Source organism: Homo sapiens, chromosome 15 (genome assembly GCF_000001405.40).
Source record: "Homo sapiens chromosome 15, GRCh38.p14 Primary Assembly".
Classification (NCBI taxonomy): Eukaryota; Metazoa; Chordata; class Mammalia; order Primates; family Hominidae; genus Homo; species Homo sapiens.
In genome coordinates this window covers 28,095,725-28,120,309 of record NC_000015.10, presented here as the reverse complement: position 1 = coordinate 28,120,309, position 24,585 = coordinate 28,095,725, and the positions used below count along the sequence as shown (strand labels likewise).

Genomic DNA, 24,585 nt, shown 5'->3' with positions numbered 1-24,585 from the left:
ATTAAGACACGAAACTCTTGTCCTTTGTTGGACAGCTCATGTGACCACATTGATGGAGCTGGTCTCTTCACTGACGTCAGAGTGTTTAATGCTAAGCTGTACGTCAGTCACGTCCTCACATAAATAGGTTGTTTAACTAGGTTCATAAAAAAGCTTTTATTTCCCTACCTTGGACGATGGCTTCAGTTTGCTGTGCATCATAAACATTATAGCTTGTAGGCAAGGCCAGCTGATGGCTTCTGCGTTGTCTAACCCCCGCGATTGAGTGCACCTTGACTTGCACCTCCCTCAAAACCGCACGCAGACTTTTTGGGCCAGGGGCTCTCAGGGTGGGTATTCAAGCCTGGGGGACTCTGGGAATCAGTGAAGTTTTGATAAACTAGGATGCAGGTTAGGCACCCTTGTTTCTGTCTTTGTATCATCTGAAATTTTTAAGAAGTCATTACATGCTGAGCACCTCTTTCTTACTCATCTTGCTATCCCCAGCTTGTGTTACAAAAACGTTCAGTATGCAATTGAAAAAACAAACTGGGTAAATGGCAAACAAATTTATATTAGTCGTTGGTGGTGGCTCATGCCTGTAATCCCAGCACTTTGGGAGGCTGACGTGGATGGATTGCTTGAGCCTAGGAGTCTGAGACCATCCTGGGCAACGTGATAAAACCCCATCTCTACAAAAAATACAAAAATTAGCCTTGTGTGGTGGTGGGTGCCTGTAGTCCCAGCTACTTGGGAGGCTGAGGCAGGAGGATTGCTTGAGCCCGGGAGGCAGAGGTTGTAGTGAGCCGAGATCATACCAGCGTACTCCAGTCTGGGCGACAGAGCCAGACACTGTCTCAAAGCAAACAAAAAACGACAACTTATATCAGGCCTTTTTTTTTTTTTTTTTTTTTTTTTTTTTTTTTTTTTTGAGAGGGAGTCTTGTTCTGTCGCCCAGCCTGGAGTACAGTGGTGCAATCTTGGCTCACTGCAACCTCCACCTCCCAGGCTCAAGCAATTCTCTTGCCTCACCCTCCTGAGTAGCTGAGATTACAGACGTGTGCCACCATGCCAGGCTAATTTTTTTTTTTGTATTTTTAGTAGAGACAATTTCACCATGTTGGCCAGGCTGGTCCCAAACTCCTGACTGCAGGTGATCCACTCGCCTCGGCCTCCCAAAGTGCTGTAGGCATGAGCCACCGCACCCAGCCTTTTTTGTATTTTTAGTGGTGACAGGGTTTCACTGTGTTGGCCAGGCTGGTCCTGAACTCCTGACCTCAGGTGATCCACTCACCTCAGCCTCCCAAAGTGCTGGTATTATAGGCGTGAGCCACCGTGCGTGGTGTCAGGCCTTCTTAAGAATCAGATAAACACCCTTCAGCCTAGTGTGCAATGTGGATTGACGTCTGGGGGCTGCTCTGGCTCAGCCACGGCCCCGGGTGCCAGAGGTGGCTCCTTCCCGTTCAGGGTAGCATGCCCCTCCCAAAGCGAGGAAATTTTCTACAGATGTAGAAATAGAAGTGATTTTCTGCCTAAAAATGAACATGGAGAAAAACATTGTTTGAATTCAGGGTGTGCACAGGACACCAGCACGGAGCCAGGAAGGCTGCACAGGCGCCTCCAACCCGCCACCCCATGGCTGCGATGATGGGCTCAGGGACACGCCTCCCAAGAGGATGCCATGGGAGGGACTCTCACAGCTGTCTGGATAGTTTCAGAGACTCCAGAACACAGGTCATCTTACTGGAAGGTTTTGTTTGTTGGGAATTTTATTTAGTTTTATAGCAGGATCTGAACATCACTACATAAAAACTTTTTTATACTTAAAAATTTATTACAGAGTTATTGCATGCACATTTCTGAAAATTTAGGGAATTCAGATTAAAGACAGTTAAAATCATCTGTGTTTCTATTGAGCAGAGAAAGTGCTGTCCCGCAGGAGCCTGTCTGCCTCCAGCCTTATGGCTGCTGTTTTCTGCAGCCTCTGAGTGCAGACAGCCTCTACTAGTGGGTGTCGTCATGGAGGAGAGGCAGCCCCGTGGGCTTCGGGGAGCTGGGTGCACCTCTCCTCTCACACAGCCGCCGTGACATAGGGCATGTCCTGTTCTTTTCTTGTAGCCTAGTCTCCTCTGGGCATGATGGAGCCTTAACAAGCTGCCGCGAGTTTCCAGGAACTCACGTCTGTGAACACTAGCCGTGTGTGTGGCACGCAGACAAGTTCATTCTACAGGCAACTGTGGCTCCTGTCATTCTTCTTGTATTTTTAGTCTTGGTTATGGCAGCCTGCTCTGTAAGCTGTTTAAACTCAACTTTAAGTGAGCTAAAGGTGAAGAGAGCTTCACTGGAGGAGTCATCAAAATACATTCTCAGGACCATTTTTTCTTCAATTTTTCTTTTTGACATCCTTCCAGACTGGGCTTCCCAGATGATTCTGATGCACAGCCTCGGCCACCTGCCCTCCGATGTGCCGAGGTCCTGCTGCGGCGGGGCCCTAGGGCTCCTGCCCTGGTGTCTTTGGGAATTGGAGGCCCCTGAGCCTTTAGCAATTGTAGCTTAGGATGAGAAGGATGGGCAGGGAGTGACTGCCTGTGTTGGGGAGGCTGAGTGGCCCCAAGGCTTGGAAATGGGATGGGTGGAAGCAGATGTGGGGAAGGGCTGGTCCTGGCTGAGGCACTCACTCACTGTGTCTGCTTCAGTCTCAGGGGCATTGGGTTGAATCTTTGAGTGCCGGGAGTCTGTTCTGGTCTGCTGGGGGAGCTGCTTTTGGAGTTCCTGGTGTCTTATTTCATGAGGTCGTGGCAAGATGGTGAAGTAGCAGCAGTGCTTAGGGTGTGAGGATGGTCCGTGCCAGGGTGGTGCTGCCGGGCCGCAGCTGTGGACGTGGTGGTGGTGTGTGTCGTGTTGGAAGGTGTGTTTGTTCAGACACACTAGTCCTGGGGGCTGCTGGGCACATCACTGGCGACATGCCCAATGGGGTGAGGCAGCGGTCTCGGGTGTCCACAGTCGAGCGCCCCAGACGGCAGGGTCTGCCTGGCGTCCACACAAGCAGGTGTGTGACCAGGGAGGGGCCCATGCACGGTGCCTCCTCCTCGTGCATTCGCCAGTGCCGCATATCCCCGACTGTGTGCTTCCTGCTGCGGCAGCGGCCTCACGCTTGCTTGCTTCCTCCTCTCCAGGTCAAACGATCAAGGAGCAAAGGCGGGCTGGCCGGCCCCGACGGCACCAAGTCTGTCTTTGGGCAGATGTGTGCTAAGATGAGCTCGTTTGGTCCCGACAGCCTCCTCCTTCCTCACCGTGTCTGGAAAGTCAAGTTTGTGGGTGAGAACTTGCCACGTGCTGGAGCACCTGTGTCCCCGGCAGTGGTCGCCTGAGCCCACAGGGAGCACAGAGGCCACATGGTGTGGGAGCGTTGGGGCTCTCTTTACACAGGACTGTGTGAGGGGACTTCGAGTGGCTGCTTCTCCCCTGCAGGTGAATCTGTGGATGACTGTGGGGGCGGCTACAGCGAGTCCATAGCTGAGATCTGTGAGGAGCTGCAGAACGGACTCACGCCCCTGCTGATCGTGACACCCAACGGGAGGGATGAGTCTGGGGCCAACCGAGACTGCTACCTGCTCAGCCCGGCCGCCAGAGCACCCGTGCACAGCAGCATGTTCCGCTTCCTGGGTGAGCTTCTCGGCCGCTTGAGACTGTGTCGCTGTGGCCTGTGCCTGCTCTTGAGTTAAAATGTACTATCTGTTTGAGGAGTGACAGTAGATATCTTGAATATCTGCTTTTAGTTTTTGAGACTGTTACCAATAAAAATGACTTTTAGGGTGAGGCGCGGTGGCTCACGCCTATAACCCTAGCACTTTGGGAGGCTGAGGCAGGCAGATTGCCTGAGGTCAGGAGTTCGAGACCAGCCTGACTAATGTGGTGAAACCTCGTCTCTAGTAAAAATACAAAAAAAATTAGCTGGCTGTGGTGGCATGCACCTGTAGTCCCAGCTACTCAGGAGGGTGAGGCAGGAGAATTGCTTGAACCCGGGAGGCGGAGGTTGCAGTGAGCTGAGATCGTACCATTGCACTCCAGCCTGGGCAACACTCTGTATCAAAAAAAAAAAAAAAAAGAAAAAGAAAAGACTTTTAATATTGATCGTGCCTTTCACCAACATTGTGGAAGCGAACGAGGTGCTGTTGACTTCCGTGCCTAGCATTGAGGGCCTGACGGTGGTGGACCGTCGGAAGCTCTGTGCACAGCTGCAGGCACTGGCAGAGCCAGCCCCGGCCACGTGCTGAGGACTGGAGACTGCCTCGGGTACTCAGAAGATGGGAGATTCTGTTTCTGCATCTTCAGTGTTTATCTGAGACTTGGGATCAGAGTGGGGTGAGGTCTTCGCCATTGGCCAGTCCCTCCTTCCTGTCCCACTGAGGGTGTGCAGGGTGTCCTCGGCTGTGCGTCCCACCACAGCCAGCACCTCCTGGGCAGGGCTGTAGCTCCCTGGAGGACACTCCCGTGGGGAAGTTCCAGCTCTTTGCTGTCATAAGAAGAAGAATTGGCCACTGTGTGGCTTAAACTAGTGTGCGTGCAGAAAGGATGTGAAGAGTTAGAGGCTTTTAGGCACAAAAGGATAGATTTAGAGCAGGACAGGCGGTCTTGAGGAAGGGCCTAGACCTATGATGTGGGTGTTGCTGCTTCAGAAGGCTCTGAGTCCTGAGTGTGGAGCTGCTGTCAGTGGCGTGTGTGAGTGAGCGGGAAGTTTTGTCATCCTTTTGAAGTGTCCTCTGTCACTTGTGTCCTGAATGATCAGGTGTGTTGCTGGGCATTGCCATCCGAACCGGGAGTCCCCTGAGCCTCAACCTTGCCGAGCCTGTCTGGAAGCAGCTGGCTGGGATGAGCCTCACCATCGCGGACCTCAGTGAGGTAACTCCCTGGGGCGGCAGGCGGGGCCTCTAGGGTCTTGTTAACAGGCACAGTCTGTTCTGCGGGTCCGGTCAGGCTGTGAACTCTGGCCTAATCTCAGTGCCCAGGTGACGCAGAGGCTGTTGGCTGTGGACCACCTTTGAGTAGCAAAAAAAAAAAAAAAAAATAGACCATCTATTTTCTGGTGTTTTGTAACATACACTGTCTTGTCAGATAAGGAAGCTCACTGCCTCCCCTGTGAAGAAGCTGAGCTTTTGGGCAGCTGGGGGCCGTGAGTCAGGCTTGCACGGGAGGCTCTGTCCTGGGGCGACCACAGCCAGCTCATTCCCCATGGCTGTGTTGTGCCTCGGCTGCAGGGAGGGAACCCTTGCTAGCCAGTTGCTGTAACTTTCTCGGTGGTTAGTTTTAAGCATTTGGCTGAATTGTGAATTCTTCGTTCAGCTCCTTGGGTGAAGTACTCTCTCGTTGCTCCTCTTATATCTTGGTGTGTGCCATGCACTTGCAGCCTCGAGATGCACTTGAGGCTGACCCTGGTTCCTGCTTGACAGAGTGTGCTGGGTGGACTGGAGTCTGGGATGGAGATGAGCCGTGAGTCGACACATGGGCTTTCTTTTTCTCCTTAAAAGGTTGATAAGGATTTTATTCCTGGACTCATGTACATCCGAGACAATGAAGCCACCTCAGAGGAGTTTGAAGCCATGAGCCTGCCCTTCACAGTGCCAAGTGCCAGTGGCCAGGACATTCAGTTGAGCTCCAAGCACACACACATCACCCTGGACAACCGCGCGGAGTACGTGCGGCTGGCGATAAACTATAGGTTGGTGGTCATCCGTCTCTGTTGCATTGACATAAATAGCAAAAGTAGCAGAACGTGGTTGTGTGGACATGTGTGTTTTTCAGGAGTGTCATACACAGTAAAGTAATGGATTTGGCTCCAACTATTGCTGATCTGTGGGTATAAAGCTTATTTTGTGATCAGGGTCGGTATTTATTACTCTGACATTCCTGGCTCTAACCAGAATACCAAGATCAACAAAATCCACCCATTTGGGTCACTGCACCTGGAGAGGCCATAGTTTTTGCCCCTGTGTGCTTTCTTTGTTGGCTTCCCTGGGACAGGGCTGTGTCTGGGGCTGTCTCAACCCCCTCCAGGCTGCTTGAGTGACACAGAGCAGCCTTTGCCAGGCGCCCAGGTGTGACTGTGCACGGTCCTTTGGGTGCCGTGATTCAGGCTTGGCAGGTCATTACCACCACCCACAGCTTCCACTGCTTGTCCCATGTCCCCTGGAAGCACCTGAGAGTGTCTGGGTGAGGCCCCGTGTGGCAGGTGGGCCCTGTGGGCTCTGGTGGGGGTAGTCCTGGCAGGTGTCCTGGGCGGTGCTGTCCCCCGTATCGTGTCTGCTGTGGGTCAGCACAGTGTCTCGGGCCTGGGGCGGATGCACATGTGTTTCCCCTCTTGGTGCTGGCTTCTCCTGGGGTGTCCTGTGGGTACTGAGAGTGGCGTCTTGGGGTGTGCATAGCTGTAGGTGGTCATTAGGCCGTACCCTGTCGGCTGGACGAGATGAGCCCAGTGTCAGGAGAAGCTCTGCAGTGCCGAGCTGCTAAGCATGCTCATGCCATCTGGAGCTGCTCCCTCTGTTCTCCCAGCTGGGACGTGTGCGGCCACAGTGCTGCATGCCAAGGCTTGGTGTGAGCAGCATAAAGTCAGTGTCACTGAAGACAGAAGTGTAAAGTGAGCTTTTTCTTCCAGACTCCATGAATTTGATGAGCAGGTGGCTGCTGTTCGGGAAGGAATGGCCCGCGTTGTGCCTGTTCCCCTCCTCTCTCTGTTCACCGGCTACGAACTGGAGACGATGGTATGCCGACCCCCAGGTGGGGCTGCCCTGCAGCTGCCTTTTGCCTGCTGACCCACAAATCAGTGACAGCAGTTAGAGTCAGAACCTTGCCCTGTGTGTTGACTGAAGGGAGTGCACTCTGAGCGCGTCCCTCCACCCGCCTGCAGGAGGCTGTGTGTGGGCCCACCCAGAGCCCCCAGACCTTTCCCCACCCCAAACAGGCCTTGGTGTAGAGAGGGAGCGTGACGGAGTCTTGCGGAAATGCCAGGGTGGGAAGCATCACGCGGCCCTGACAGACATCCTCCCGCAGGTGTGTGGCAGCCCTGACATCCCGCTGCACCTTCTCAAGTCGGTGGCCACCTATAAAGGCATCGAGCCTTCCGCATCGCTGATCCAGTGGTTCTGGGAGGTGATGGAGTCCTTCTCCAACACAGAGCGCTCTCTTTTCCTTCGCTTCGTCTGGGGCCGGACGAGGCTGCCCAGGACCATCGCCGACTTCCGGGGCCGAGACTTCGTCATCCAGGTAGGCTCCTGGCTGGGCTTGCCGGCCCTGGGCTGATGTCGGCCGACGGTGGGTGGCTGGCTCCTCACCCACAGTCCTGCAGCACATGGAAAACGAGCCTCTTGAGTCTTTACAGAAATGAAAATGGAAAACATCGAACTTCTCTGATGTGAAGGCTCAAAATGTTATGATTATGTGTTTTGGGTACCATTACCTATTTTTTAAAAATGTATCTGGCCATCCCCAGAATACATCACTGCTGTGTCAGCCTGCTCTAGATTTCAAACACACGTAAAGCACTCATTCAGTTATCTGGTCGAATTAGGTGAGTCACTAAGTAACATCCTACATACCGAGAAAAATGAGGCCGCTCGTTGGATTGAGAACAAGGGTTTTGCTTTGGGTTCCAACTCTGTGGGCCGGTGGTCAGAAACAAGCTCAGTGGACCTGCCGGGTCACTGAGAGGGGATGGCCTAATGCCCCCACTCTCTGTTGGGACCGTAACAGCAGTGCCTGGGCGGATGGATCGATGGGGTCCACTGTTCCCAGCATGTGTCCAGCACAGCCTGACCTGCGTCTCTGCCAGGGTTAGAAAAGTGGCCGTCTTTCAGGGTCACCTTGGAGAGCATGCATAGTTTTCTATCTTAGAAGGTCAGTAATTCTTAGTTTTTGTCCATAATTCTTGCCGTTTCCTAGTATCTTAATCTGTAGGGGTCAAAGTTGGGCTGGTAGACTCATGAAGAGCTCTCCCGTGGTCACGTGCCTGGTCCTCCGCCAGCCAGGCCGCCCCGCATCCACACAGGTGGTGTGGTCCTCGGGCCCTCTTCCCGGGATGACAATAGAGAGCCATCATCTCCATAGTGAGGTGCTGTTTCTTACTCCAAGTTCTAGGAATTAATTGCTCCTCGTTACTCCTAAAGTTGTTTGGATTATGTTTTCTGCTGTTTTGTTCTTAGCAAAAAATATGGTTTTGTGAGCACGAAGAGTCTAATGAGCACAGTAAAGTAAACTGCAGCCGTACTCAATTTCTAATCACTTCATGTTTCTGCTCAACAGGTGTTGGATAAATACAACCCTCCAGACCACTTCCTCCCTGAGTCCTACACCTGTTTCTTCTTGCTGAAGCTGCCCAGGTATTCCTGCAAGCAGGTGCTGGAGGAGAAGCTCAAGTACGCCATCCACTTCTGCAAGTCCATAGACACAGATGACTACGCTCGCATCGCACTTACAGGAGAGCCAGCCGCCGACGACAGCAGCGACGATTCAGATAACGAGGATGTCGACTCCTTTGCTTCGGACTCTACACAAGATTATTTAACAGGACACTAAGATGGGGAAACGTCCTCGTGAGATGAGAGCCTGAGCCAGGCAGCAGAGCGCTCGCTGCTGTGTAGACTGTAGGCTGCCTGGTGTGTCTGATGAGAAGCGTCCGTCCTCGAGCCAGGCGGGAGGAGGGAGTGGAGAGACTGACTGGCCGTGATGGGAATGACAGTGAGAAGGTCCGCCTGTGCGCGTGGAACACTGTGGACGCTCGACTTCCAAGGGTCTTCTCACCCGTAATGCTGCATTACATGTAGGACTGTGTTTACTAAAGTGTGTAAATGTTTATATAAATACCAAATTGCAGCATCCCCAAAATGAATAAAGCCTTTTTACTTGTGGGTGCAATCGATTTTTTTTCTTTCTCCTTTCTTTCAAGTGTCGTGAGTCGTCTTGATTGTATATTGGAAATAACTGTGTAACAAATCGTATTATAAATATTTCAATTAATTTTACTCTGAATTTGTTTATTAAAAGACTTTTGAACATGAAATGATTAGTATTACTTGAATGCATCCAGAGGATATTTAAACCAAAATGAAAAACCAGAAGGCCATTTGGTGTCCCCCCTCCCAGGTGTCCCCTTGTAGCATATGCATTATGTCATCTGAATTGAGGCCTTTCTGTGAACAGCATCATAACTTCTATCATGGAAAGTGTACTATATATAATGTTTGTGTCATGTATATGCCTAAATTTTAATTATCTATAAATAAAACATCTGACATAAAAGTGTAGGCTGAGCTTTCTTAACCAGTACAACCAAAAAATCAATTAGTTCTTGATATAGCAGTAGTAAAGATTTCAGCCAAGTTGAGATTATTTTTTTGTTAAACCAAACTCAAGTCACAAAGAAGTGATTAGGAGAATGGAAGATTCCACGGGACCAGCTGGTGGCAGGGGCTGAAGGGCTCTGGAGCCTTCAGAGTTTCCTCCGACTTCCTCCCCAGCCCCATCTGTCTGCACAGCCTTGGCTTCTGCTTTCATTGGCCTGGGCTGAGAGTCTTCCGTCCAGGCAGCCATGGTACACGGTTTGGGCTGCTTGTGTATGGCACGCACTCTGCAAAGGGTAGAACTGAGAACAGGCTAGGAAAACTGGCTGGCAGGTCTAACGCATTAGAGCTTGAGCTGAAGACTATCAGATTGAGGCAAAACTATGTATTTCACGTTGGGAGACAGTTTATTCAGGGACACGATGTTTAGCACTGGCACAGAAGATCCAAAGAGGGAAAGTTTTATTTTTTTTCTGGGAACCTTTCCAGAACTGAATTGGTAAATGCCAGGATTAGTCTATTTTCAGCTTAGCTCAAAACGTCCATAAGCTGTGTGGTATTATTTTTGTTAATATCACCAACCCTTTTGTTGTCAGCTTTTGCGGCATAACAGAATTGCCCCTGAAGTCAGTGAGAAGCAGCGTTTCTCACTCGCGCGCCTGGCTGGGCCGGCCTCTGCTGAGTGGCTCTGGGCCCGCGGTTAGGAGGTGTCAGGCTTCACATCTCTCTTCTCGCTTTGGGCGTGTGTATCACGGTGGTGACACAGGTGTAAGAGGGCCCAGAGCTGCACTGTCCCCTCCACCCACTTTCCATTGGCCAACCCCCAAATCAGGCTGGCAAATGCCTTCTGCCTCTAGAATGTGGGTTCTCAAAGTCCTGGCTGAGGACCCCTGGAGTTCCTGAGGCCCTTTCAGGGTGTCCATGAGAGCCTCTATCTCCTACTACGTCTCTCTGTGAGGCCAGATTTTCTTCAGCTCCTTCCACCAAAACTTCACAATGTGGGGATGCACAGACAGAAATGAGAATTCACCTGTCTTCTGTGAAAGGAAAGAAAATCTCCACCCGCAAGCCCACTAGGCCAGAAGAAAAGCGTGAGCTTGGAAACGGTCACACGGGAAACTGCCTTTTCATTGTGTGCCTGAACAGGTATCTCCCCAGGTGGCCTCCCGGACCCAGACTATGTAAAGTCACAGCTCATCGCTCCGTAAGGGATAGAGACTAGAAATTGTCTGTACGCCCATTCCCAGACTAATGCATATTTGACTTCTTCCTCGACTCTAGGTTGACTTTATCTGATGTAAAGTGCAGATTTACTGAGCGTGAGCCGAATGTATAATTGACTCTTCCTCTGCCCCCTGCGATTCAGCGAGCACTCATCAAAACCTCACAAGGGTGTGCCCCACTTCTCTCACTTTTCCTACCCTCCCTCCTTTTTATTCTTTCCTCCTTCCCCTCCTGCCTTTTTCCCCTTTAAATATTGAAATCCTCAAAGCTCTTTGGAAGAAGCCCCGGACACAGAGCCTACTGTGGCTTGTCTCTTTCCCTGGCACGTCCTCAGCTGTGGCAAAATCAACCTCTAAGTGGATTGAGGCCTGTCTCACTTTTTTTTTGAGACAGAGTCTCGCTCTGTCGCCCAGGCTGGGGTGCCGTGGCGCGATCTCTGCTCACTGCAAGCTCCACCTCCCAGGTTCACGCCATTCCCCTGCCTCAGCCTCCCGAGTAGCTGGGACTACAGGCACCCGCCACTACGCCCAGCTAAATTTTGTATTTTTAGTAGAAATGGGGTTTCACTGTGTTAGCCAGGATGGTTTCGATCTCCTGACCTCGTGATTTGCCTGCCTCAGCCTCCCAAAGTGCTGGGATTACAGGCGTGAGCCACTGCGCTGGGCCACTTTTTTTGGTTTACACTTCCATTAAGCCAGACAGTTAAAGAGGCTAATAAAAGTATTAATGCCATTGTCACTAATTTGTTTTCGTTTTGGAAAACGATTTTTCAAAATTGTGTCCATGTTAACAAGTCATGGGTTTGTTTTTATTCTAAACGTATTCAATATTTTAAATTTTTTCAGTTGTAATTTCCAATGTGATAGGTAAAACCCAGACGAAAATGATTGAGGATTGAGAGCTTTCGTATAAGAGTCCTGAGGGGGAAGCTAATGTGCCAGAAGAGGCCGGCCGCAGACACCAAGGCGGGACCCCCATGCAGCTGCCCTGCGGGGGCTGTGTCTCTGCTTTCTGCAGTTAGAAGCAATGGCGTAAGTGTTATGGTTTTTTTGTTTGTTTGTTTGTTTGAGACGAAGTCTCACTCTGTCGCCCAGGCTGGAGTGCTGTGGCGCCATCTCGGCTCACTGCAAGCTCCGCCTCCGGGGTTCTCGCCATTCTCCTGCCTCAGCCTCCCGAGTAGCTGGGACTACAGGCGCCCGCCACCACGCCCGGCTAATTTTTTTTTTTTTTTTTTTTTGTATTTTTAGTAGAGACGGGGTTTCACCGTGTTAGCCAAGATGGTCTCCATCTCCTGACCTCGTGATCCGCCCGCCTCTGCCTCCCGAAGTGCTGGGATTACAGGCGTAAGCCACCGCACCCGGCCTTTTTTTTTTTTTTTTTCTTTTTTTCTTTTTTTAACTAAAAGCATACTAGAGGGCACTTCATTCCCACAAAAAAAAAAAAAGTGATTTTTGTAGCCACAGCTTCTTCATGTTTGGACAGGAGGACTCTCTCGGACAGTTCCATGTCACCTTCAGTTTAACTTTTTACTCTCATCCAACTTCCAAAGCCTGAAGTTATATAGTTCACTTTGACAGACAAATGTGTGCAGCCGAGACCATTAAACTGTAGAAAAGACAGACGACCCATCTGTGCTAGGAGTGGAAACTTGTCACATTGACAATTGTTTGGAAGCTCACCAGCATTGTGAATTGTGGATTAATTGTGGTTTCCTGCCTGTTTGCTTTTCTGCTGATAGAATCGGTGACAGTGGCTGTGCCCTTATGATGTGCATGAAACTGCAGTCTGCTTAGAGTTAGGAGAGCTTTACATGGTGCCCGACACCGTGGGCACCCTTAGCGTCTCCGACAGGAACTTCTGGTGGTGTCCGAATACGGCCCCCCGCGTTGTCCCCAGGGGCGGACTGCCTCCCCTCCAGGACTTTCTCCTGAGCCGGTGGGCCATGCCTTCTCCCCGCCTGTCGGGCATATCTTTGTGCACAGCCCGTGCGGCCTGGCCTGGCTCTGCGTCCCACGCTGCCGGTCCATCTTTCCCCCCAAATGCAGCTCCACAAGCGAGGCGGGATCGGCGCCAGTGCCCAGCCCGGGATAGCCCGGGGCAGGCGGCCACCCACCAGCAGGCCCTGGCGCGGAGGCATGCGGGGTGGGCTGAGCGCGGGGCCCCTGCGCGGAGGCTTATCCACGACCTCAGAAGGGGCTTCCGGCGCTGCTGTCGCTGGAAGGCATTTTGTGCTGGGCCCTGGCTGGCCCGGGGCTGGCCCCTGCGGCTGCCCGGGCTGTTGGAGGAGGGAGAGGTGGCGGCCTGGCCGGCGCGCACTTGCTGTTTCCATTCTCAGCGGACCCGCGCTGGGGTGGCCGCCGGCGGCAGCGGTCTTTCGGGCTCACCCTCAGGTTTAACCAGAAATCCGGGAGTAGCTGAGAGAGCTTCGGAGCTCCGTGCACTGTGCGCTGTCCTGACTTGCCAAAAAAGAAAGCAGAAAAACACCCAAAGCACGTTCGAGAAGAGAAGGGGGAAATCTGGGGTCTGCCCTTCCTTTAGAAAAGCCGAGGTTCAGGGTGAGAGCCCCTCTGAGCGGTCCTTGGTTGAGCTAGCGGAGCGGGGAGGCTCCCGGCGCCCCTGCGATGAGACCCCACCCTCACGCCGGCTGCGCCCCGGGACCTCCGCGAGGATTCGTCCGGCGGGCGCGCGAGCGAGCGGGGTCTCTTCGGGTTTCAAGCGGCCCCGGGGCCGGCGCCTCGTGACCCTGCCGGACTCTCCCTCCCCGCGCGGCAGCGAAGCGCATCACCGAGGCTGGGGCCGGGCTCACCGTGGGGCCAGAGCCCGCTCCCAGCAGGATCTCGGCGAAGACCAGCCCCCGCACGCCAGCCCGCCGGGTGGAAGCCCGGGGCACCAGGACAGGCCCGGAGGCGGCCGCGGGGCCCGGTACTGCCTGCGAGGAAGTCGCCTCTGCCCGGCCACGCCGCTCCTCCCGCAGCGGTGCTCCCGGGGTTGCGACCACAAACCTCGGCGCTCTCGGGGTGATGCCTGCTCCGCCACCAGGGCCCCCGCGCGCACAGCCCCCTCCCTGCGCTCGCTGTTGCCGGCAGCCGTGGAGGTTCAGGCATTTGGCGTGGCCGTGGTCGTGGGGAAATTCCCCGCGTGCGCCCGGTGCCCCCACCCTGCTGTGCGCTCCCCGCTCCTCATGCCAGGCGGGGCCGGAGGCCGGGGCCCGGAGGGTGGAGAGACCCTTGGGGACAACGAGGTCTCAGAGCACAAACGCTCAGCACTGCGGGTGACACCCCGGGTCCCAGCCCGGGAGCCCGCGGGTGGAGCCGCTCAGCCTTGCTCCTGGCTTGGCCCAGTCTGGCAACACTGCCTTGGGTACAGCCTCCTCCTGGGTGAGGGAGTGAGAGGCAGAACCCCCACCACACGCATGCTCCCCGCACCCCAGACGCGCACACACACCCACACACATGCATACACACACACCCCCAACACATGCACACACGCGCGCGCACACACACACCCCACACGCACACACACCCCCGACACATGCACACACACACCCCACACACACATGCACACACACCCACACACGCACACACACCACCCCAGACACATACATACACACACCCCACACACATGCGCACACACACACCCGAGGCACGTACACACACCCCTACAAACCTCACACACGTGAACACACCCCACAGAACTCCCCACACACATGCACACACACATACACTTCTCACACCCCACATGCACACACACCCCAGACACACATGCACACACACATCACAGACATGCACACACACACCCACACCCCACACATGCACACACACTCCACATCCCAGACACATGCACACACACCCCACATCCCAAACACATATGCACACACACCCCACACCCCAGACACACATGCACACACACCACACACATGCACACCCCCCACACCCGACACATGCACACACACCCCACACACCACACATGCACACACACCCCACACACCACACATGCACACACCACACACATGCACACACACACCCCAGACACACATGCACACACACCCGACGCACCACACACCCCCACACCACACACACACCACACACATCCTCACACCATACACACACCACACCCCCACACCACACACACCCCCACAGCACACGTACATACACACAACCTACACACATGCACACACACCCCACACCCCGGACACACATGCACACACACCCCACACACGCACACACACCCCACACATGCGCGCACACACCCCACCACACACACCCCCACATCCCACACACATGCACACACCCCAAACACCCCAGACACACATGCACACACACACCCCACACCACACACACACCGCACCATACACACACCACACCCACACACCCACATCACACACCCCCACACCACACACACACCCACACCACACCCCCACACCACACACACTACACACATGCACCCCCACACCCACACATGCACACACATGCGCACATAACCCACACACTCCAGACACACATGCACACACCCCCCATACACCCCCCCACACACATACCCCACACACACCAGACACATGCACACACCCCACATAAACACCAGACACACATGCGCACACCCCACACACACCACACACGCACACACACCCCACACACCAGACACACATGCACACACCCCACACACACCAGACATACATGCACACACCCCACTCAAACACCAGACACACACATGCACACACACCCCACACACACCAGGCACACGCATGCGCACACACTCCCATACCCCACACATGCACACACCCCACACAGATGAACACACACCCACCACACACATGTACACACACACCCATGCGTACACCCTCCCCCCACACCCCAGACACAAATACACCAAAACACACCCACACACCCACACGTACACCAACCCCAAACACACGTACACCCTATACACATACACATATACCCCCCACACACATACATCCCTTACATACAGCCCGTCACACACACCCCCCACAGACATACACACCTCCTAAACACATAAATCTTGGCCCCTTCACATACACTCACCCTCACACACACCGTCTTCCCTACCCTCTCCCCACCCCATCCCCCTCCCCATGCTGCCTGCAGCTGGGCAGGTGGGCAGGATGCGGAAGGAGAGCGCTGGGCCTCTGAAAAATTGGAACAAGGAAGGCCCCTGACAGGCCTGCCCTGGGTGGCCTGGACAGGAGGGTCGGGGCCTGAGGACATTCCTTGTCACTGCCAGGGACATGCCATGATGGCTCACCATGTCAGGAAGGGCCAGGCCCACTGGCAGCCAGTCTGGCGAGTGAGTCCTACTCAGGGTCCTCCAGGCCGAATCGCGCAGACCTCACTCCTCCCCGATAGTCAAGATAGTCAACACTTCAAACAGGGAATCGCTCAGGGCTACAGTGAGCTATGACCATGCCCCTCCCTGCAGCCTGGGCTGCACAGAGGGACCCCGTTTCTAAAACAAGAAAATACAAAAGATCGTTTTAAAAAGGTCTTCGAATGGGTCCATTCTGCATGGAGGCCAGCTCCACAGGGTGGGAGGCTTTTGTCTGCAGGACCTCCTGGGCCTCATGTCTCATGGGATCCAAATGCAAATGGAAACACACACGCACAGAGATACCAACTACTCAACATCCAGAAGCAATAGCAGGCACCTTCGTCCCTCAAGCTGCAGACTCCCGTGTCCAGCTTCGCTCCCCGCTGGAGCACCAGCTCTCAGGACCCCACTTTCTTCCCACCCCCACGGGCCTGGCCTCCCCATTCTCCTGCCACCCAGGGCCGCCCCTCCGCATGGAGCCTTCAGCTCAGGATGACCCGGGACTTGGGCCAGCCCCTCCCAGTCACAGGACCCACCCTCTTCAGGATGAAGTTTATAATCGTTTTTATTCCTGAGTCAGTCCTGGAGTTTTTGCCCATCCCACTCACTTTTCAAAATTGATTTTTTCCCCACAGACAAATGAGACTTTCTATTTTCCTCTAATTCATTAAAAGAAAGACATTATCGATCAGATGGTACAGAGAAGTCCCATATACACCCACCCCACACATGTAGCTTGCCCCAGTGCACATGCTGCCCACCAGATTGGCCCATGGGTTACACCAACACACCAGCATTATCCAGAGGCCTCGGGTTACATCGAGGCTCACTCGGGCAGTGCCTTCTGTGGGTTTGCACGAATGTTTAATGCCCTGTATCCGCCTTACAGTATCATACAGACTAGGGCCGCTGCCCTGAAATCCCCTCCAGCTAGTCATCCCTCCGCTCCCCACTAGCTCCTGACAGCCACCAATGTTTTTACTGTCTCCATAGTTTTACCTTTCTAGAAAGTCATCTAGTTGGAATCAGGCAGTATGCAGCCTTTTCCGATTGGCTTGTTTTACTTAGTAATCTGCATTTAAGGTTCTTCTGTGTCTTTTCATGGCTTGATAACTCATTTCTTTTTAGCTCTGAATAATAAATATTCCATTGTCTGAATGTACCCTAGTTTGTTTATTCATTCACCTCCTGAAAGGCATCTTGGTTGTTTCCAAGTTTTGGCAATGACAGATAAAACTGCTATAAACACCCGTGTGCAGATTTTGGGTGAACATAAGTTTTCAAATCATTTAGGTAAATACCAAGGAACATTGGTTGCTGCATCATATTCTAAGAGTGTTTAGTTTTGTAAGAAACGGCCCAACTGTCTTCCAAAGTGGCTGTACCATCTTGCGGTCCCACCAGCAATGAATGGGAGTTCCTGTGACTCCACAGCTCATTACATTTAAACATGTCTTTAAAGTCCGGAATTTAAGTTCAGAAGGTAGCATCATGCCCTCATGTTATGCAGCTCCTGCCTCCTAAAGCCGTGGTAACTTTAAAACATGGCTCTGGCCGGGCGCGGTGGTTCACGCCTGTAATCCCAGCACTTTGGGAGGCCGAGGTGGGCGGATCATGAGGTCAAGTGATCGAGACCATCCTGGCCAACATAGTGAAACCCCATCTTTACTAAACACACAAAAATTAGCTGGGTGTGGTGGCGCCCACCTGTGGTCCCAGCTTCTCAGTAAGCTGAGGCAGGAGAATTGCTTGAACCCGGGAGGCGGAGGTTGCAGTGAGCCAAGATCACGCCACTGCACTCCACCCTGGCGACGGAGCAAGACTCCGTCTCAAAAACAGAAACAAACACAAAAAACATGGCTCCAATGTTCTTTGACATTCCTCCCCTCAAGAACTGGTGTCTGTGTCCTTCCTTGGGCTCCTTGACTGCTTGGCCAATAGAATATGGCAGAAATGACACCTGCCAGTCCTGGGTGCAGGCCCTAAGGAACTGGTGGCTTCTGTTTCCTGTCTCTTGGGCCCCAGCTGCCATGCTGTAAGGAAGTCCAAGAGCTGGTGCAGGGGCCACGTGGCAGAGCCGACAGACCCGCCCTAGAGTGAGCAAGTGCACCTCCGGATCCTCCAGACTCCAGTCATTTCCAGCTTTCACATTGCCCTGGCTGCAGTGGGGAGCAGACGAGCTGTTTCCACTGTGCCTTTCTGAATTCCAGACCCGCAGGATCTGGGAACTTGACAGAATGCTTGCTGAATCAAGCCAACTTCGGGCAGGGGTGGGTGCATAGGGTTTGTGGGCTGAACCATGGCAGGAACAGGCAGAGACTGGGGACTGCAGAGGCCTGCACAGCAGGTGGCCCCGGGGACCCCTGGGGAAGGATTCATAAAGGGAAGCTGTAGACAGATTTCCCCATGACGGGGCTGGAGGGCTGGGCTGGGAGGCGCTTTCTTCTCTCTGGATGCTGTGGTCTGGGGAGGCAGCGCTTTCCTGCACCCTCAGGCCTGCCCAATTCTGAGAGCTTCTCACTTTCCTGGACCATTGTCCTCTGAGTCACAACTGCCTGTCCAGGGCAAGAAGCCAAGGGTGCCTTCACTGGGTCACCCACAAACATAAAATATGCACATACACGTACACAAAAGCGACACCGCATCCCAGCCCTCTGCTTGGAAATAGCCACCTTTGGCTTTTATATCTGATTCCAATGGTGCTGTTCTTTGCCAAGAACATTTAGGGGGACCTTATTTTGGGATTTCCTTCTGGAATTTCCTTGGCCAGCCAAAAAAGTATAATTCTATATCATATCTTGTTTGGGACCCAAATCTTCATGCTCAGGAGAAACCACATCATTTCTGAGACTGGCCCCAATCACTTGTAACTGAAGAAGCACGGTGCCCCTTGAAGGCAAGTTTGGCTGTTCGAGTCACACACAGGCTTCCATTGATGCATCTGCAGGCAACACTCACTCTCAGCCACCAGGAAAGGAAACCCCATCTGGCCCTGAGGGTCAATCAACCAAGGGGACTGATTGACGGCAGCTAAGAAGCCCAGAGACAGTGAGCATGTGGCTGTGCTGGGTGTGGGTGCCTGTCGGCTCGCGGGGGGGCTTTGTCACCCCTCAGCTGCCGCCAGGGCTGGGACACATAGATTTGGCTCACCCGAGCCAGTCCCTGGCATGGAAGTTGGGTTTCCTCCATTACTGTGGCCACTCAGGGTCTATCCCTGGAGCTGGGGTAGGGTTGCTCCTTCCCCATACATTCAGCAGTTACACAAAAACAACTGTGACCTGCAAGGCACAGAGAGCCACACGCTTGGCCGCAGCTGTCCTGCTGGCGTTTCAAAGCCCGCATTTCGACAGATCTGCGTGCACACCAAGAGCCTTCTGCCCACTCAGGGAGCCTCCCCCGGGCTCTGTGCCCCAGCCCCTTCCCGCCCTGTAACAGTGTCCCTGAGGCACTGGGAGGGGAGCAGGTGCAGTGATGAGCGAGGAGGAGACAGTATTTCTGGGACGGGAACTGGTGCATCGGTGGTCACAGGCTCCCTGGAGCCGCCATCCCACAAGGATGGGGGTCACCATGCAGGCTGCTTGCCAGCCATATCCACACCTAACGCACACGGCGGTCTGAACTGAGGGGTCTGCACATGCGACAGTGAATGTGGTCTCAGAGATCTCGGGCTCTCCTGCTGTCAGGGCCCTGGCTGGGAACTTCAGTGTCCTGGAGCCTGCCATGCCGAGGACATCCTCGGTCCCTGCTACCAGGGCAACCCCTGGCCCACCCTGTGGCTGTGCAATGTGCTCTGTTATAAGGCATGAGATCTCTTTCAGCTCTGCTGTTACACTGTGGATGGAGCCTCTTACTTCCTGCCAATTCCTGTGCAGGGCCTGGCCACTGCAGCTGTGTGTGTGTCTGTAGCTGTGTTGTCTCCATGTGTTTGTGCGTGTATCTGTGTGTGTGTCTGTATCTGTGTGTGTATCTGTGTGTGTCTGTGCGTATATCTGTGTTTGTATATCTGTATATGTGTATCTGCGTGTGTGTCTGTGCATGTATCTGTGTGTGTGTCTGTATGTGTCTATGTATCTGTGTATCTCTGTGTCTGCGTATCTGTGTGTCTGTGTATCTCTGTGTGTAGATCTCTGTATCTGTGTGTATCTGTGCATGTGTGTATCTGTGTGTCTGTATCTGTGTGCCTGTGTATATCTGTGTCTGTGTATCTCTGTGTGTGTCCGTGTGTGTATCTGTGTGTGTCTCTGTATCTCTGTATCTGTATGTATCTCTGTATCTGTATCTGTGTGTCTGTACCTGTGTCTGTGTATCTGTGTCTGAGTATCTGTATATATTTGTGTGTGTCTGTGTATCTGTGTCTGTGTGTATATCTGTGTATCTGTGTGTATCTCTGTGCCTGTGTGTGTGTCTCTGTGTATCTGTGCATGTGTCTGTGTGTATCTGTGTATGTGTGTCTGTGTATCTGCATGTGTCCTTGTGTGTCATCTGTGTATCTGTGTCCTGTATCTGTGTGTCTGTGTATTGCTGTGTCTCTGTGTGTGTCTCTGTGTATGTGTATCTGTGTATCTGTGTCTGTGTATATCGTGTCTATCTCTGTATCTGTGTGTGTGTCTGTGTGTATCTGTGTGTGTCTGTGTATCTGTGTGTGTCTGTGTATCTCGTGTGTGTGTCTGTGCTGCAGGAGGGGCTGTCGGCAAGTGTAACCTTGGCGTCCTAGCTGGAGGGCCTCTCAGTGCCCGCTGGGAGAGCTCTGAAGGGAACAGAATGTTCACTGAGCATTTCCCCGTTCTTGTTCATAGGGAAAAGCCTGTCCGCAGTCCTGGGCCGCCTCTTTAGAGGTAAAGCTGGAAACTATCCCCGCGGAGAGCGCTGTCGGGGACGCCGGGGCGGCGTGGCCTTAGACGGAGCTGCTCTCAGCCCGCGCCGCCGGGGGCTGGGGAGCTGAGGGGCCGGGGGTGCGGAGCGGGCGAGCTGTGGGCGGGGCCATGTGGGCAGCTTTGTGGGCGTGGCCGGGAGGGGCGTGCTACGGGCGTGGCCGCACTGTGGGCGGGGCCGAGTGGGGAGTGCTGTGGGCGGGGCCGGGCCGGGGGCGTGCCTGGGTGGGGGACCCGCTGCGGGAGCGCCGAGCTCCCTCTGAGTTCTTACTTCGAAGGCTGTGCTCCGCTCACCATCCAGAGCGGAGGTGCGGACCTTAAACTCACTCCTGGAGAAAGATCTGCAAGTGCGCAGGTAAAGTGCACGTGCTCCGCGGTCGGGAGGAAGGAGGCGAGGAGCCAGACTAGCCTGGGAACAGGCAGGGAGGGTTTACACAGCCCCGGCTGAGTCGCGGCTTAGGAAGCAAGGCAAGTTCCCCTAAAGGTTAGTGTGCACAGACGGGTGCGACGGAGCCGACCTAGCGCGGCTGAGTCCGCCTGGGCCTGCAGCAGCTGCCCCCTGAGCACCCCCTCCGGCTCTCTGCCAGGCGACCCAGGAAAAAGTCGCCCCCTGGTGGGCCATGAGGTCATGGGTGGGGGGAGTTTGGAAAGGTTCAGACAGCAAATGTTCCACTTGAACTCCAGGGCAGCATCTGGCACTGCGGGGCCTCCTAGCCATGAGCCGTGGTCAGGCGTTTCCTTAGAATGGAATGCACTGGAGTGAAAACACTAAATCCCTCAAAGCTGCTTCTCTTTACTGTGGTCACACACAGTGAAATCAATGGGCATTAGTGCAGCTAGCTCTTTTCAAGGACACAATGTTAAGCACAGGAAGCCTGGTATGTGGACGCTCTGGGTTTGCAGAACCAGGCAGGGGCCAGGGGCTCAGGACAAGTGCCCGGTGCTCCCTTCCCATTGGGCGAATCAGAGCCTGGGGCCCGGCGGTGAAGCTCCCCAGGTGACTCTAATGTGCAGTGCACTTTGAGGAGCACTACTTAGACCAATGTGACAGTCTACAATGTGTAGATTTAGGGTGAGTGATTCTGAGGAAAAGAAACCCGAGGCTGTTAGCAGTTGTGGGCAGCTGCTGTCTACCTAAACCAGCTGCGGTTTGCTTGCTTGGTGAGCCTGAGCTTCGCGGGGCGGGCATGGCATCTGCCATCCAGGACCCTGGGACGGGGCCTGCCAGGGCAAGGAGCTGAGCATTGAACGCATCTGGGGATAACTATCTCTCATAGAAGAACTAATGAGGATTGAACCTGAACACAGAGATGAAAGAGCTGAGTAGACTGCAAAGAATTGCACAAAAACTGCTTGTTCTGCAAATTTAGTTTACAACAATTTGAGTGCAGTTCACATTGGTGTAATGTGATTTAGGATCATAAGTCCCTAAAGTTTCATTACACTGATGAAAAGCAAATGCCTATACTGTTCTTGTTTTATGAGAAGAACGCAACCTCCAGCCCCTGGAGCAGCTGAGATCTGAGGATATCAGGAATACCAGGAATGGGGAGGTCCTGGCTGTCCCTGGAAACCCAGCGGCATGACACCTGTGTCACCTGGGTCCCCGTTTCTATGCTGGAGTGGCAGGCAGCAAGGAAATATTTTGAGTTTGAGGCCATATGCATTTTGGAAAGATCACTGTGGCTGGGGGGTTGGGAGCAGCTGGGGAGTTGAAGAAAGCCACTGCCAAGGCCTTCCCACTGAGTGTGGTTGCCAGGCCGGGGCAGGGAAGCACTGGTGAGCTGCAGGGGGGATTCCCAGTTGGTGATGGGTGATGGATGGTGGGATCAGTGGGCCCCTGGGAAAGGCCAGGTGTGGCTTCAGCACTCTGGGAGTTTTGGGTACCTTTATGTCTAGGGACACAAAGAGGTAGATGGACACAGTGGTTTGAGCTGCAGAAGAGAGTTGGGCGGCCACCTGTCCACAGGTGAGGATGAGGTTTCTTGGGAGAGTAGAGAGAAAGGGGAGGCTTTTAACTGTTAGTAGTGGAAAGATGGCTTGCAATGGAGATAAAGGCTACCACAGAGGGGAGGAAAGCCCAGAGCCTGGAGGCCAGGGGGCAGGATCTGGGGCAGGGGCTGACCCAGTGTGGCATTCTCCATATGCTGGAAATGTGAGAAGAGACTCCACAAGCCGGAGCTCCCTCAGCTCCTTGGGGCCGCTGGCTCTACCAGCTCACTCGCTGGTTGTTGGGTTTCCGCAGTTTCCATTTGGGGTTCTGTCACTGACCTGCAGGCAGCCGGCTTGTCGCGGGCTGTGGCTCTTGCGCCGGCCACCCGCGGGACCCGCGCAGTTTCGGCGGAGCGCGGCGGGGTCCGTGTGGGTCCGACCCGTGGGGAGGTGTGGCTGGCGCGCCTGTGCTCTCGGCCCGGCCACCCACTGAGGCGCCAGGAGGCGCATTCCGCAGGGCGGCGGGGAGCAGGTCCGGTGTTTCGAGGAGCATGGGACACAGTTTCCAAGCTGGCCTGCAGGATGGGCGAAGGGACACCGAACTACAGCGGCACAGCGCCGGGCCAAACTGCCCGCAGCTGGGGTAGCAGAGGAGGCTTGCGGCAGCGGCGCCGCGGGGAGGGGTCCTGGCCCCGGGCTGGGAGCGGGGCTGGGCGGCCGCGTGCCCGGCTGCGCGTTTGCTGGCGCTGCTCGTTTCTCCCCGAGAGGTGCGCCTGGCCTGCCGCGGGGCCGCCAGTCCCGGGGGGCCCTGCGAACGCGGCCCTCGGCAGAGCCCACCCGCGGCCTCCCGAGGCCCTCTCCCGGGCCCCGCCCCTCCTCCCAGGCTGGAAGGAGGCGTACTCTTTCAAACAAGAACAGAAAACGGATGGAAAGCCACGATGTTTGGCTTAACGTTCTAGAAGCTTTTAACCAAGTTCACATGTTGAAAAATCCACCTGAAGGGATATACGGTCACACTCGCGGTCTCGGTCCAGGCCCGAAGTGGGGTGGGGGCACCGCACCCTACACTGCCCTCAGCGGGACACCCCTGTCTCAGCCCAGGACCGGCTGAGGAGGAGGCTGACCCCTGGACGGGCTTCTTCAGGCCTTCTTGGCCGCAGGGCTTCTCCTGCCCCCTCCCTGGGATCCGGGAACTAGAAGGAATGCTTCAAATGCAACGGTCACAGCATCGCTCCTGCGGACACCGCCAGGCTCCCGAGACACGGCTACGCCTCCGGCTCACAGTCACGCCCGACACAGACAGACCACCTCCAACGAAAAGCCACGCCCCCGGAGACACGACCACACCTCGGAGACAGGCCATGCCCCCGGAGACACTACCAAGCCCCAGAGACACGACCACGCCCCAGGAGACACAACCACGCCCCGGAGACAAGCCATGCCCCCAGAGACACGGCCACGCCTTGGAGACAAGCCACGCCCCCGAGACCAGCCACCTCCCGGAGACACGACCACGCCCCGGAGACAAGCTACGCCCCCGGAGACACATTGACGCCTTTGCAGACGCAGCCAGGCCCCCGGAGAGAAGGGCCGTGCTCCGAGAGACACAGCCATGCCCTGTGGACCCAGCCAGGCCCCTGCAAGCATAGCCAGGGGCGGTTTCTCGCTCAGAGGGACGCCTTGGGGCTGAGCAGCGCATTAGGGACGATTTGGGGCCAAGCAGCGCTTTGTGGGGAGGGGAGCGTTCAGTGACGGGTGTTTTCTCTGGATGTTAGACACTGTCCACCAGAGGGGAGTTGGCTGCAGAGGGACTGCCTTTCAACAGCCAAATTTTCACCTCAGCGCCTAAACCTGGTGCTTCTCGTTCCTTGCCGGTATTATGTCAGATATTTAAAGAACTCGAAGAACAATGTTCTTTTTTT

The 24,585-nt window shown here is 54.5% G+C and overlaps 2 protein-coding genes across 24 annotated transcripts in view, besides 4 other annotated features; both read left to right on the top strand.

The window, feature by feature from the left end:
• Nucleotides 1-9,270, top strand: part of HERC2 (HECT and RLD domain containing E3 ubiquitin protein ligase 2) — a 211,140-nt gene extending 201,870 nt beyond the window's left edge. For all 10 annotated transcript variants that reach the window (XM_006720727.4, XM_006720726.4, NM_004667.6 and 7 more), the window contains 7 exons: nucleotides 3,156-3,297; nucleotides 3,451-3,645; nucleotides 4,769-4,881; nucleotides 5,508-5,698; nucleotides 6,632-6,737; nucleotides 7,027-7,239; nucleotides 8,275-9,270. In XM_006720727.4, the coding sequence (XP_006720790.1) occupies nucleotides 3,156-3,297; nucleotides 3,451-3,645; nucleotides 4,769-4,881; nucleotides 5,508-5,698; nucleotides 6,632-6,737; nucleotides 7,027-7,239; nucleotides 8,275-8,547 (1,233 nt within the window). In that variant the 3' untranslated portion in view covers nucleotides 8,548-9,270. The remainder of the gene's footprint in view (nucleotides 1-3,155; nucleotides 3,298-3,450; nucleotides 3,646-4,768; nucleotides 4,882-5,507; nucleotides 5,699-6,631; nucleotides 6,738-7,026; nucleotides 7,240-8,274) is intronic.
• Nucleotides 5,816-6,315: an enhancer, noted in NCBI's record as "H3K4me1 hESC enhancer chr15:28359141-28359640 (GRCh37/hg19 assembly coordinates)". NCBI's record gives its function as "activates a minimal SCP1, AML or CMV promoter by ChIP-STARR-seq in naive H9 embryonic stem cells {active_cell/tissue: H9 hESC(naive)}" and the evidence as "EXISTENCE:reporter gene assay evidence [ECO:0000049][PMID:30033119]".
• Nucleotides 11,985-12,545: an enhancer, noted in NCBI's record as "H3K27ac-H3K4me1 hESC enhancer chr15:28352911-28353471 (GRCh37/hg19 assembly coordinates)". NCBI's record gives its function as "activates a minimal SCP1, AML or CMV promoter by ChIP-STARR-seq in naive H9 embryonic stem cells {active_cell/tissue: H9 hESC(naive)}" and the evidence as "EXISTENCE:reporter gene assay evidence [ECO:0000049][PMID:30033119]".
• Nucleotides 12,546-13,107: an enhancer, noted in NCBI's record as "H3K27ac-H3K4me1 hESC enhancer chr15:28352349-28352910 (GRCh37/hg19 assembly coordinates)". NCBI's record gives its function as "activates a minimal SCP1, AML or CMV promoter by ChIP-STARR-seq in naive H9 embryonic stem cells {active_cell/tissue: H9 hESC(naive)}" and the evidence as "EXISTENCE:reporter gene assay evidence [ECO:0000049][PMID:30033119]".
• The window catches only part of OCA2 (OCA2 melanosomal transmembrane protein), a 380,308-nt gene continuing 376,717 nt past the window's right edge, over nucleotides 20,995-24,585 (top strand). For all 14 annotated transcript variants that reach the window (XM_047432619.1, XM_047432618.1, XM_047432609.1 and 11 more), the window contains exon 1: nucleotides 20,995-21,086. The gene's annotated coding sequence lies outside the window, so the exon portion shown is untranslated. The remainder of the gene's footprint in view (nucleotides 21,087-24,585) is intronic.
• Nucleotides 21,048-21,700: an enhancer, noted in NCBI's record as "H3K4me1 hESC enhancer chr15:28343756-28344408 (GRCh37/hg19 assembly coordinates)". NCBI's record gives its function as "activates a minimal SCP1, AML or CMV promoter by ChIP-STARR-seq in naive and primed H9 embryonic stem cells {active_cell/tissue: H9 hESC(naive and primed)}" and the evidence as "EXISTENCE:reporter gene assay evidence [ECO:0000049][PMID:30033119]".